This window comes from Homo sapiens, chromosome 5 (genome assembly GCF_000001405.40).
Source record: "Homo sapiens chromosome 5, GRCh38.p14 Primary Assembly".
NCBI lineage: Eukaryota > Metazoa > Chordata > Mammalia > Primates > Hominidae > Homo > Homo sapiens.
The window spans coordinates 32559827-32572871 of NC_000005.10; the positions used below are offsets into that span (position 1 = coordinate 32559827).

The following is a 13045-nucleotide window of genomic DNA, read 5'->3' on the forward strand; positions in this document are numbered from 1 at the left end:
ATACAGTTTACACACACACACATACACACACACACAATTCTCACTGTGAATATATAAATCGCTGAATTTTCTTTCAACTATATATATAGAAAAGAAATATATGTGTATATACATATATATATACTCCCTGTGAATATATGACCTTTCATTTTAATATATGTATGTATGTGTGTGTGTGTGTGTGTGTGTGTGTGTGTATATATATATATATTTCTTTTTCTCTCTCTGAGCCATTTTCTTCCTTTTTTGGTCAGCAACCACAGAGGCACCCAGAGATAAATCATGCTGGGAATCCCATTTCCCTTCATCAGGATTAGCCTAGGGTAAGTAGTGTGACCCAACTCCAGATGATAAGATAAAAAGGGAAGTCTGTTGTGCACCTGGAAAATATTTTTTTTTCCTGAAGAAAAAAAGTAGAGCCTATCAGGCAAAAGCTTTTTTCCTTATGCTTCTACCTTCCTTCTAGGCATTAGTGTGAAGACAGAGAGCTTGGCATGGTAGCAGCCATGATGTGTAGGCCTAAGGACTTGCTGCAGAGGGGCTGTCAGAGAGGGTCTGTGTCCTTGATGATATCACTGAGCCCCAATCCAGCCCTGGAGCTGCCAGCTTCCAGACTTAAGAAAAAAACAAAAAACATGTTGTTTTTTAGAGCAGTTTTAAATTCACAGCAAAATTGAGAGGACGATACAGAGGTTTCCCATATACCTCCTGCTTCCAAACGTGTTGGAAAGTCAGAGCCCAACTCCAATCCTCCTTAAGCTCTAATGTGGGCTCTTCTGCTGGATCTAGAAACCAAATTGACACAAGGCAGATTAACTAGAGAAAAACATACACATTTTATTAGTTTTACTTGTCCATGGGGATCTTCACAAGAGAGTAAAGTCCAAAGAAGTAGCCAAAGAAAGATGCTTTTATACTTTTATCATAGGTGGCACAAGATCAGATATAACCAGGTCTATGGGCATTTGTGTCTTTCTACAAGGTCGGGTTTTCATCGACACTGTCTCAATCATAGGAGCCATGAGCTACATGGAGTTCCCAAGGAGGCAATTCTCCTAGTACTTTTGTTCACTCAGCAGTTAGAGCTGCATGCACACGGGCTCAAGCCACTCCACCCGTCAGTCAATATTGCAAACCATACATAATGGTACCCTTAATCAATATATAAATGTTACAGATTAAACATTCCACAACAAAGTAGCATTTTACATCAAGAGAACAGGGATAGGAAAAGGATTAACCAACCAGCCCAGGGAGAGTGATATAGACAAAAAGAATATCCTGGTCTGGCCTGGGAGGTCCATAGGTCTTGCAAGGGAGAAACTTTGAAGTGGGCAGAGCCTTTGGCTGGCAGATCCTGGGTGCTTATCACAAGTGACAGCAAGATGGTGTCTTTCTTTTCTTTTATTTTTTTTTGAGACAGAGTTTCACCCTTGTTGCCCAGGCTGGAGTGCAATGGCGCGATCTTGGCTCACCGCAATCTCTGCCTCTTGGCTTCAAGCAATTCTCCTGCCGCAACCTCCCGAATAGCTGGGATTACAGGCATGTGCCACCATGCCCGGTTAATTTTGTATTTTTAGTAGAGACAGGGTTTCTCCACGTTGGTCAGGCTGGTCTTGAACTCCCGACCTCAGGTGATCCGCCTGCTTCAGCCTCCCAAAGTGCTGGGATTACAGGCGTGAGCCACAGCACCTGGCCGGTGGCCTTTTTTTTTTTTTTTTTTTTTTTTTGAGAGAGTCTCACTCTGTTGCCCAGGCTGGAGTGCAGTGGCACGATCTTGGCTCACTATAACCTCTGCTTCCTGGGTTCAAGCAATTCTCCTGCCTCAGCCCCCTGAATATCTCATATAGCTGGGATTACAGGTGCCCGCCACCACATTCAGCTAATTTTTGTATCTTTAGTAGAGATGGGGTTTCACCATGTTGGCCAGGCTGGTCTTGAACTCCTGACCTCAAGTGATCCACCCGTTTCAGCCTCCCAAAGTGCTAGGATTACAGGCATAAGCCACCGTGCCTGGCCAAGACGATGTCTGTTAAGATGGCCATTTCAGGCGGGCGCCTGTAGTCCCAGCTACTCCGGAGGCTGAGGCAGGAGAATGGCGTGAACCCGGGAGGTGGAGCTTGCAGTGAGCTGAGATCGTGCCACTGCTCTCCAGCCTGGGCGACAGAGCCAGACTCTGTCTCAAAAAAAAAAAAAAAAAAAAAAAAGATGGCCATTTCAAGCTGCTGAAGTCCTGCTCTTTTCCTGGACACAGAGTCCTCCAGTAAGGACTGATAGAAGAGTGTGCTTGGTTATGTCCATATTTGGATGGATACAATCTTTATCAATCAGACAAAACATCTAGTCCCTGTCGGCAAAGTGCATTATGAAATGTAAGATGGAGTCTTTTTCTAAGATGGAGTTACTTATGTCAAGGTTGCCCTACACAACTTTTTAGACACAAAACAATAAGTTTGAGAAGAAATAACAGGACAAAGAAAATCAGAAAAATCTGGCTAGGGGCAGTAAATTTTCTAGGGACGTCACTAGGAGATATATTGGGAGGGTGCAAAACTAGTGAAAGATAAGAGTTACTTCATTTAGTACACACATACACACACACACACACATTTAGAGTCTCACTCTCTCACCCAGGCTGGAGTACTGTGGTGCCATCGTAGCTCACTGCATCCTCAGTCCTGGGCTCAAGGGAACCTCCTGCCTAGGACTCCCAAAACGCTGGGATTATAGGCATGGGCCACTGTTCTCAGTCCCTGTCAAGTATATTTATTCAGGTCCATTGCAGTCCCCAGTGCCCACTGTCTGGTAATAAGGCCTATCTTCTTGCCCTGGTGTGGCGAGGGTACCCCTCCCAGAGGAGCCTTTATGGCTTGCTGTATGCAGGAAGAGAAACACCAGCTAGGCTTTTCTGAAACTACAATTCCTCCAATGTTTTCAACATGACATAATCAATATACCAATCCAGCATAATTTGGGATGGCATGTCCTTCACTCCTTCATATGTGTAGCCCCCAGTTATCAACATCCCCTGCCAGAGTGGAACATTTGTTATAATTGATGAATCTACCTTGACACACCATAATCACCCAAAGTCCTCAGTTGACATTAGGGCTCACTCTTGGTGTTGTGCAGTTTATGGGTTTGGACAAACCTATAGTGTCATACAGAGTAGCTTCACTGGCTTGAAAATCCTCTGTGCTCTGCCTAGTCATCCCTCTCTTCCCTGTAACCCCTGGCAACCACTAATCTTCACTGTCTCCATAGTTTCTCCTTTTCCAGAATGTCCAGACTTCTTTTTGTTGCAGATGAATAAAGGTCTACAATGCTTAAGCCACTGTTGGTCAGGAATTCTGTTATTTGCAGCCAAACACATCCTAACTGAATTATGTCCCAACTGGATTTTAAGTTCCTTGAGGCAGAGATACTGTATTTAATTTATTTGTATTTCTCATAATACTATGGAAGATTTTCTTACATAGGGTAGGCACAAGTTTAATAAATGAATGGATAAAAGGATAAATAATAACAATCTAGTCTGAGCATGGTGGCTCATACCTGTAATCCCAGCACTTTGGGAGGCTGGATGGGAGGATCACCTGAAGCCAGGAGTTGAGAGGCTGCAGTGAGCTCTGATTATACTACTGCACTCCAGCCTGGGCAACAGAGCAAGACCCCATCCCTTAAAAAAAAGGCAATCCAAAATACTCTGGCTCCTAAAATATGGGCCAGCTTGGCCATGGATTTGGTGGCCATCCGGTAGTCAGACCCCACATTACAATAGCCTAATGAAACCAACAAATCTTAGAGCTCGAAAGGACTATACAGCTCTGGGTCACTGAGCCCAAACCTCTCATTTTACAAATAAGGAAATAGATACACAGTGCTTAATTGATATTTGTTAGTGACAAATATAGTGCTAGGTCACCCTGTTCCCAGGCTAGTAATCTTTCCATTACATTGTGCTTACTTATCTTGGCTCTTGGTTCCAACCCAGGCTCCTCCATCCCAGAATAGCTCCAGGCTCCCCACATTAGTGCTCCAATATTTGTGGCCTAGGCCTACTTGAGATCTAGGCAACCATTCTGACTTTGAACTACCAGCAAAGGCCAGCAAGTACAAGGGGCTTGTGTAAGCATTGCGGTCATTTGGGAAGGAAATATGGGGATCTAGCAGGAGTTACAGTTTTAGGGCAGACTTGAACAAGATGGCAGCAGAGAGGTAGGTGCAAGGCAGAACTGCCTTCCCGTTTATCAAGTTCAGATCATCTCAGAGAGGCTCCCTAGGGGCAGTTGCCTATATTTCAGCCCTGATTCAGATCCTATTGTACTTGGTAGGTTTTAGGATTGCTCTGATGGTCAATTGTATGTGTCAACTGGGTGAAACACCAGTCTAGATGTTGCTGTGAAGGTATTTTGGATGTGATTAACATTTAAATCAGTAGACTTTGAGTAAAGCAGATTACCCTCCATAGTGTGAGTGGGCCTCATCCAATCAGTTGACAGCCTTAAGAAAAAAGACTGAGATCCCTCAAGGAACAGATAATTTTGCCTGCAAGCAGCCTTGGACTTGAGCTGTAGCATCGACTCTTCCCTGGGTCTCCAGTCTGCTGGTCTGACCTGCAAATGTTGGACTTGCCAGCACCCACAATCTCTCTCTCTCTCTCCACACACACACACACACACACACACACACACACACACACACACGCGCACACACACACACACACACACACACACACACACACACTATATCCTGTTGCTTCTCTTTATTTTTTGGAGAATCCTAACTAACAAAACTACCCTGAAGTCTAAAGATGTATGGCCATTGTACTCCTTATCAGTTGTTAGGGTAGATATTTACAACTGGTGGGGATGACTTTGCCCTCAGACTCTGTCTTACAGGGGACAAACAGGAAGCATGGAAAGAAATACAGTGCACCTTGACAGCACAGTTTAAACAGCACCTGGAATCTTCAACATCCTGCCCTTAAGGAACCTGTTTTAAAGCGGAGTTTTCTTTCCCCATTGTAACTTTATGTCTATTCTATTCATCCTTCTGCTGTGGTTTACTTTTCTCACTCTTATGGGGAAACTGCAAAACAGCTGCCTCCCCAACACCCCAGACTTCTTCACAGGGAGACAGTCAAGGAAATGTTGACATGCCTTGGGAATTAATGGTCCATCTCTGTTCTTTCCCAGAGCTAATCACTGAACCAGCTGTACAGGAGGTATCAGGAGAGGTGCTTTAAGGATGCTCAGAGACCTGGCTTGAAGCAATGAAAAATTGATGTTGCTGAGAGGAGAGAACTGCAGAGCAGCAACTGCAGGCAGAACTAGCATGGGTGGGGATGGGGGCTGGAGGAAGGGGAGAAGGTGGGGATGGCAGGCCTGGGCCTCCTTATAAATAGCAACTTGATTACCTTGACAGCCATAAGATAGGACATAGGGGCTGCAGAGAGGGGTGGTCCTGACAGGCAGTTTCTCTCCATGCAATGTACAATGTGCACCACATTGCACTTCCTCTTTGGTGTCAGAGGTAGTTAAAGGCCTATTATCTATGTGACTACCATGGACACCAGATGCATAAGAAATGATGCTAATCACTTCCCCACCTTGTTGTGAGCATCCATGGAGAGGATGTTGTGTTGAAACACTTGAAGCTGCACCAACGTCCATTTTACTATTATCTTTGGTTCCTAGAAAAAACTAACTCCTTTTTTTCTCTATAAATTACCCAGCCTTAGGTATTCTGTTATAGCAACACTAAACAGACTAAGTATCAAAGTCTAAACAGGAATTTTTTTCTTATTATGATTAAAAACCATATAACTTCTCTTGATAAGGCTGTCCCAGAGAAAAAAGAAAACAGTCTGAAAACACAGGAGAAAAAATGAATCCAGGGTTATTTTATAATTACATTTTAAGCTCATGCTCTCTACAAGGGTTGGGAAGAGGGGCCAGTTTGTATTACTACATACAATAAATGTATATGTATATTGTATATATTATTATATACAATAAAATTATATATAGTATATATATAACTTCATATATAAAAAATATATAATTTCATTTATAGAGCACACATATATATGAACTTTTTAGGTACGTGTAAAGTTCAACACTTTAAAACAATTGTCACCTATCTAATGATCTCCATTGAGATTCCCTGAATTGCAGAGTTAAAAAGATGTAGCTGTTGGTATCATTTTCAGATAAGAAGGGTAGGACGAGGGAGCATCTGCAGGTGAGTTTTTGTGGATGGAGAGGTATAAGGTGTTTTGGAAGTCTCTGTGAGGGGCACAGTGAGCTCCCTGTGTCTCCCCTCCTCCACTAATTTAGGGCTTCCATATAATATATAAAAATCCATTTGTAATCTATTTTTGGTTATTATTCTAGGGTAACAGGAATGATGAGTTACTGTTCTGTGACATGTCATTTTGAAGAATACTATTGCCTTTCTTCTCATTCAGAGTTAACAGGAATTCTATGATGGGAAAGTTACTTTGATGAACTCAGCTGAAGCACTGATAACTCCCCAGAGCTGTGGTTCTCAGTCAGGGACTATTTCTGTTTCCAGGGAACATTTGGCAATATATTGGGACATTTTTTTGGTTGTCACAGTTAGGGCAGAGATATCACTGACATACAGTGGGTTGAGGCCAAGAGTGTTGCCAAACATACTACAATGCAAAGCAGAGTCCCCACTGCCAAAGACTTATCTGACCCCAAATGTAATGTTGTCAGGGTCGATGAACCCTGCACAAGAGCAAATCATCAGTCTTTCAAACCGGCCCCTCTTCCCAACCCTTGTAGGGAACATGAGCTTAAAGGTTAACTTTCAAACATTCCTGGATTCATTTTTTCTCCTGCATTTTCAGATTGTTTTCTTTTTTTCTCTGGGACAGTCTCATCAGGAGAAGTTACATGTTTTCTAGTCATAATAAGAAAAAGCATTCCTGTTTAGACTTTGATGGTTAGTCCATTTAGTGTTGCCATAACAGAACGCTTAAGGCTGGGTAATTTGTAGAGAAAAAAAGGTTTACTTGGTTCATGATTCTGATGGCTGGAAAGTCCAAGATTGGACATCTGCATCTGGTAAGGGCCTCAGGCTGCCTCCACTCATGGTGGAAGGCAAAGGGGAGCAGGTGTTTGCAAAGATCACATGGTGAGAGAGGAAGCAATGGAGAGAAGGTGATATGGTTTGGATGTGTATTCCTGCCCAAATCTCATATTGATACATAATCCCCAGTGTTGGAGGTGGGGCCTGGTGGGAGGTGATTGGATTATGACATGGCTTTCTCATGAATGATTTAGTACCATCCCCCTAGGTACCGTCCTTGTGATAGTGAGTGAACTCTCATGAGATCTGGGCATTTAAAAGTGTGTAGCACCTTCCCTACTCTCTCTCTCCTGCTCTGCCTTTCACCTTCTGCCATGATTGTAAGTTTCCTGAAGCCTCCACAGAAGCCAAGCAGATCCCAGCACCATGCTTCCTGTACAGCCTGCAGAACCATGAGCCAATTAAACCTCTTTTCTTTATAAATTACCCAGTCTCAGGTATTTTTTTATAGCAATGTGAGAATGGACTAATACAGGGTGGGAGGTGCCAGGTTCTTTTTAACAACTGGCTGTCTCCCAAGAAGTAATAGAGCTAGAGTGTAACTCACTCACCCTTGAGGGAGGGCATTAATCTGTTCATGATGGATTCACCCCCATGACCCAAATTCCTCCCACTAGGCCCGACACCACCATATTGGGGATCAAATTCAACGTAACTTTTGGGGGGAAGAAATAAGCCATATCTAAACCATAGCAGATACTTTTAATCCTTATTTCTTTTTCACCTTTTGCTTTGTTTTACCACCAAACTAGCAAAAGAGCCATGCACAGGCAGTCCACAGAATCCAGGTCACACAGGGGTATGAGCAGCAAGGCCTCCTGGGTGCCTCCTGTGTCCTCACAGAGATCTTCTTGAGGTCCCTGCAGGCCTGTTGCAGGGAGGAATCCCCTGGGGTGTGGCCTCCTTTTTAAGACACTTGAACTTTGATGACTTGAAAGTTAACCTAAAGAAGCCGGGCACAGTGGCTCACCCCTGTAATCCCAGTGCTTTGAGAGGCCGAGGTGGGCGGATCACCTGAGTTCAGGAGTTTGAGACCAACCTGGCCAACATGCCAAAACCTTGTCTCTATTAAAACTACAAACAATTAATGGGGCATGGTCGTGGGCACCTACAATCCCAGCTACTGGGGAGGCTGAGGCAAAAGAATCACTTGAACCTGGGAGGCGGAGGTTGCAGTGAGCCAAGATTGTGCCACTGCACTCCAGCCTGGGTGACAGAGCAAAACTCCATCTTAAAAAAGAAAAGAAAGAAAGGAAAGAAAGAAAGAAAGGAAGAAAGAAAGAAAGAAAGAAAGAAAGAAAGAAAGAAAGAAAGAAAGAAAGAAAGGAAGGAAGGCTGGACGCGGTGGCTCACGCCTGTAATCCCAGCACTTTGGGAGGCCGAGGTGGGTGGATCAGAAGGTCAGCAGCTCGTGACCATCCTGGCCAACATGGTGAAACCCCGTCTCTACTAAAAATACAAAAATTAGCTGGGCATGGTGGCGTGTGCTACTCGGGAGGGTGAGGCACGAGAATCGCTTGAACCCAGGAGGTGGAGATTGCAGTGAGCCAAGATCACACCACTGCACTCCAGCCTGGTGACAGAAGGAGACTCCATCTCAAAAAAAAAAAAAAAAAAAGAAATAAAGTTAACCAAAAGCAAAAGCAAATAGTAGGAGACATTCAGCTTTTGTTTGAGTGCTCCCCTGGGTGAAGGGATGCCTTGCTTCATCAAAATGTCTAGACTCAGAAATTAAAATGTCTTCAAGGGCTCATAATAGGAGGAAGATTGATAAATTATACCGCTTAAAATGTCTTTCTTCACATTGTTCAGGGTTTGGTAAACTCCTCAAGACCTCAAGGCCTTGCTTATCTATAAGCTATCCAGAGCTGGGGACTGGGGTGAGAGAAAGTGAGGTGTCTGTTGTGTAAAATTTAAGAAGTAAGGAGACACTTAGGGTGATGCAAGTCCAGGGTCAGTGTGGGCACCAGGCACCTCTCTTGCTTCATCTGAGTACTGATTTTGAGGCTCTCCAAACTTTAAGAGGAGCCAGAGCCGCCTTCTATCACTGGAAAGGACACAGGAGGGTACAAAAGGCTTGGAAGACATTCCCAGGGCCATGAGTAATCTTTTTCTTCTTCTTTTTTTTTGAGACTGAGTCTCACTCTGTTGCAAAGGCTGGAATGCAGTGGCGTGATCTTGGCTCACTGCAACCTCTGCCTCCCAGGTTCAAGCGATTTTCGAGCCTCAGCCTCCTGAGTAGCTGGGATTACAGGCATGTGCCACCACACCAGGCTAATTTTTCTTTTTCTTTTTCTTTTTTTTTTTTTTTGTACTTTTAGTTGAGATGGGGTTTTACCATGTTGGCCAGGCTGGTTTTGAACTCCTGACCTCAAGTGATCTGCCTGCCTCAGCCTCCCAAAGTGCTGGGATTACAGGCATGAGCCACCACGCTTGGCCACCATGAGTAATCTTGAACCACATTTTGTCTAGCTTTGGAGATAAACCCTTACTGGGTCTCTCGGTCTCAAAGTTTCCCCTCAGCTCTGACACAGCCTGTTTGTAGTTTAGGGTTATTTTACTTATTCCCCATGATGTCTGTGTTATCTTTCCATTTCCAGATTGTTTATACTCTTCTTTCAGGCTCTCCAAGTAGTATTTCTCTTTTGGCCTTCTGAATCTTATGTTTCTCAGTTTGCTTGCTCCTTTTTCAAGGCAATTGCCAATGTGGTCATCCTTTTTTTTTTTTTTTTTTCCTTGCACTTAATAATTTCTAACTTACTATTTGTGGTAGGTTGAATAATATGTCAATCAATGGTATCCATGTCCTAATCCCTGGAACCTCTTGATTTTATCCCTATAAAGCAAAATAATTTTTTTGCAGATAGGATTAGGTTAAGAATCTTGAGATGGAGAGTTTATTTTAAATTATCTGGATGAGCACTAAGTGTAATCACAAGTGTCCTTATAAAAAGGAGGAAGAGGGAGATTTCATTATGAAAGTAGGAGATGGGACACAGAAGCAAGAGCTTGGAATGATTCAAGAAAGGGGCCATGAACCAAGGAATGCAGGCAGCCTCCAGAAGTTAAAAAAAGGCAAGGAAACGGATTCTTTTCTAGAGCCTCTAGAAGAAACCAGCCCTGCCAACACCTTGACTTTAGCCCAGTGAAACTGATTTTGGACTTCTGAACTCTGGAAATGTAAAACCCTAAATTATTGTTATTTAAAGCTACTGAGTTTGTGGTAATATGCTACACCAACAATAGGAAACTAATATAATATCTTTATGTCACAGTAAGTAGTGCAAACACATTTCTACACTATATACTCCATGAAGGAGGCAGCATCACCTGGAGTTAACAGTACTGGCTCTGGAGCAGTCAAACCTGGGTGTAAATCCTGGCTGATCCCTGTAGTAGACATTTGTCCGTCTCTGTCTACCCAGGCTTTTGAACTTTCTTCCTGTATGAGGCAGAATGTGTTAGTTGCCTTCCTACTGTTCACTCCTCATTTTCCATTACTAACAGCATCCTAATTTGTACAGAGTGATAAATTTCACCATCTTAGGAATAATCAAATTTTAGTCTGGGCACCGTGGCTCATGCCACGTAGCTTAAACTCCAGCACTTTGGGAGGTCAAGGCGGGAGGATCGCTTGAGCCCAGGAGTTCAAGACCAGCCTCGGCAATGTAGTGAGACCCCATCTCAAAAAAAAAAAATCCTGTTTTTAAAAATAAAAAAATAAAAAAAAATATTTTACAGTCTTCCTTGAAATCACAAGCAGCCACTGAAATAGTTCTTGTCAAGTGTTCATTTCTGGGAGAGACTTCAGAGGGGGCCTAAAAAGGGGTTAATTTGACTGGCATGCACCTTTGTCCTTTGACTTATCCTTCCTTCACAGAATGCCACACGCTAAGGATGGTGGTGTGGAAAGGAAGATATATCTTGGGTCGCTAACGGAATTGTGAGGATGACCTTCTAACTCTGGACTGTATCCTCAGACTTCTTGCTTTGTGAAAAGAATAAGGGCCTAGTTTGGTTAAGCCACTGGTTTTTGTGTTCTCTGTTATGTTAACCTTATAATTCATTATTTCTTTCACTCTAGTGGAATTTCTATTTTTGATTCTAGTATTCTAGTACATTGTACATGTATCTGTCAACAGATTCTAAACTCCCTGAAGGAGACAAATTACCAGTGGACAAGAACACAGCCTCTGGAGTCCAATAGGCCTGGTGCATTCATTAGGGTAAGTGGTGCTAGGTGCTATAACAGATAAACCTCAAATTATTTGTGACTTCACACAATATAACCTTATTTCTTCACTCATATGAAGTCGTTTTTAGTACACATTGCCATTTATGGACATAGGCTCTTACCTTCTCATGATTCTTTGCTGCTTAATCTGGCTAGAGTGGTTTCCTGATGTACACAGTGACAAACTCAGAGAGACACAGCTACTTACTAGATTGAGCTATAAGAAACTGATGACATATGAACATAAATACTGTCTACAAAATGGCAGTTTCACATGATTAAACCTAACTTCACATGTGATTTTGAGCAAGGGACTCTCTAAATCCATTTCTTTAGCTATAAAATGGGGTACCAATACTCATTCCCTCCAAGGAGATTATAAAGATCAAATAAGAGGATGTATGCAAAGAACTTCGCATACAGGCTGACACAGAGTCAGTAACTCAAACAGGTTAGGTATGATTTACCCAATGCCTAGCACAGACTCTCTGGCACATACTAGCTATTCTTTAATTATATATATGCATGTATGTATGTATAAATTGAGATAGAATTCACATACCATAGGCTGGGTGCAGTGGTGCTGTAATCCCAGCACTTCAGGAGGCCAAGGCAGGCGGATCATGAGGTCAAGAGATTGAGACCATCCTGGCCAACATGGTGAAACCCCTACTAAAAATACCAAAATTAGCTGGGCATGGTGGTGTGTGCCTGTAGTCCCAGCTACTCCGGTGGCTGAGGCAGGAGAATCGCTTGAACCCGGGAGGCGGAGGCTGCAGTAAGCCGAGATAGTACCACTGCACTCCAGCCTGACAACACAATGAGACTCCATCTCAAAAACAAAAACAAGTCACACACCATAAAATTCACCCTTTTAAAGTTACAATTCAGTGATTTTTAGTATATTCACAAAGTGATATAGTCATCATCACTGATTCCAGAACATTTTTATCACCACAATCAGAAACCTCATACCTGGCTGGGCGCAGTGGCTCACGCCTTTGGGAGGCCAAGGCAGGTGGATCGCCTGAGGTCAGGAGTTGAGGTCAGGAGTTCGAGACCAGCCTGGCCAACATGGTGAAACCCTGTCTCTACTAAAAATACAAAAAATTAGCCGGGCATGGTGGCGCATGCCTGTAGTCCAAGCTACTCGGGAGGTTGAGGCAGGAGAATCATTTGAACCCAGGAGGCAGAGGTTGCAGTGAGCCAAGATCAAGCCATTGCACTCCAGCCTGAGTGACAGAACAAGACTCTGTCTCACAATAAAAAAAAAGAAACCTCATACCTGATAGCAAGACCTTGTCTCTATTTAAAAAAGAAAAAAGAAAAAAAAGAAAAAAGAAACCTCATACCCATTAGCAGTCACTTTACCTTTCGAATGAATCATCTTTGTTTCAAAATGGCTGGCATAGTACCTTGCTCTTCGAATTCACTCTGTATTTATTGATTCTATTGGCATCTCCTGTAGAGTTGACAAAACATTTCTTGTTTATTCAACAACAATGGATAGTATGTCATTTAATTTGTCATTTAATATGTATGTGTGTGTATGTGTGCACACACACACAGCCCCCCCACATTTATGCTCAGGGAATCAGATTCTCCCACACCAAAATAATAAAATGACAAAAATAATAATAACAATAATATTGTTGATAACAATCCTGGTTGTGCATTTTAAAATGACAG

General features: G+C 42.9%; 1 long non-coding RNA gene across 3 annotated transcripts in view; it reads left to right on the forward strand.

Annotated features, from left to right (window-relative positions):
• The window catches only part of LOC124900954 (uncharacterized), a 65808-nt gene extending 53902 nt beyond the window's left edge, over positions 1-11906 (forward strand). Inside the window, exon 5 of one of the 3 annotated variants that reach the window (XR_007058719.1) lies at positions 11265-11906. This is a non-coding gene — a long non-coding RNA (uncharacterized LOC124900954). The remainder of the gene's footprint in view (positions 1-11264) is intronic. The other 2 variants (XR_007058720.1, XR_007058721.1) reach the window with 2 other exon arrangements.
• Positions 11907-13045: the final 1139 nt, after the last annotated feature.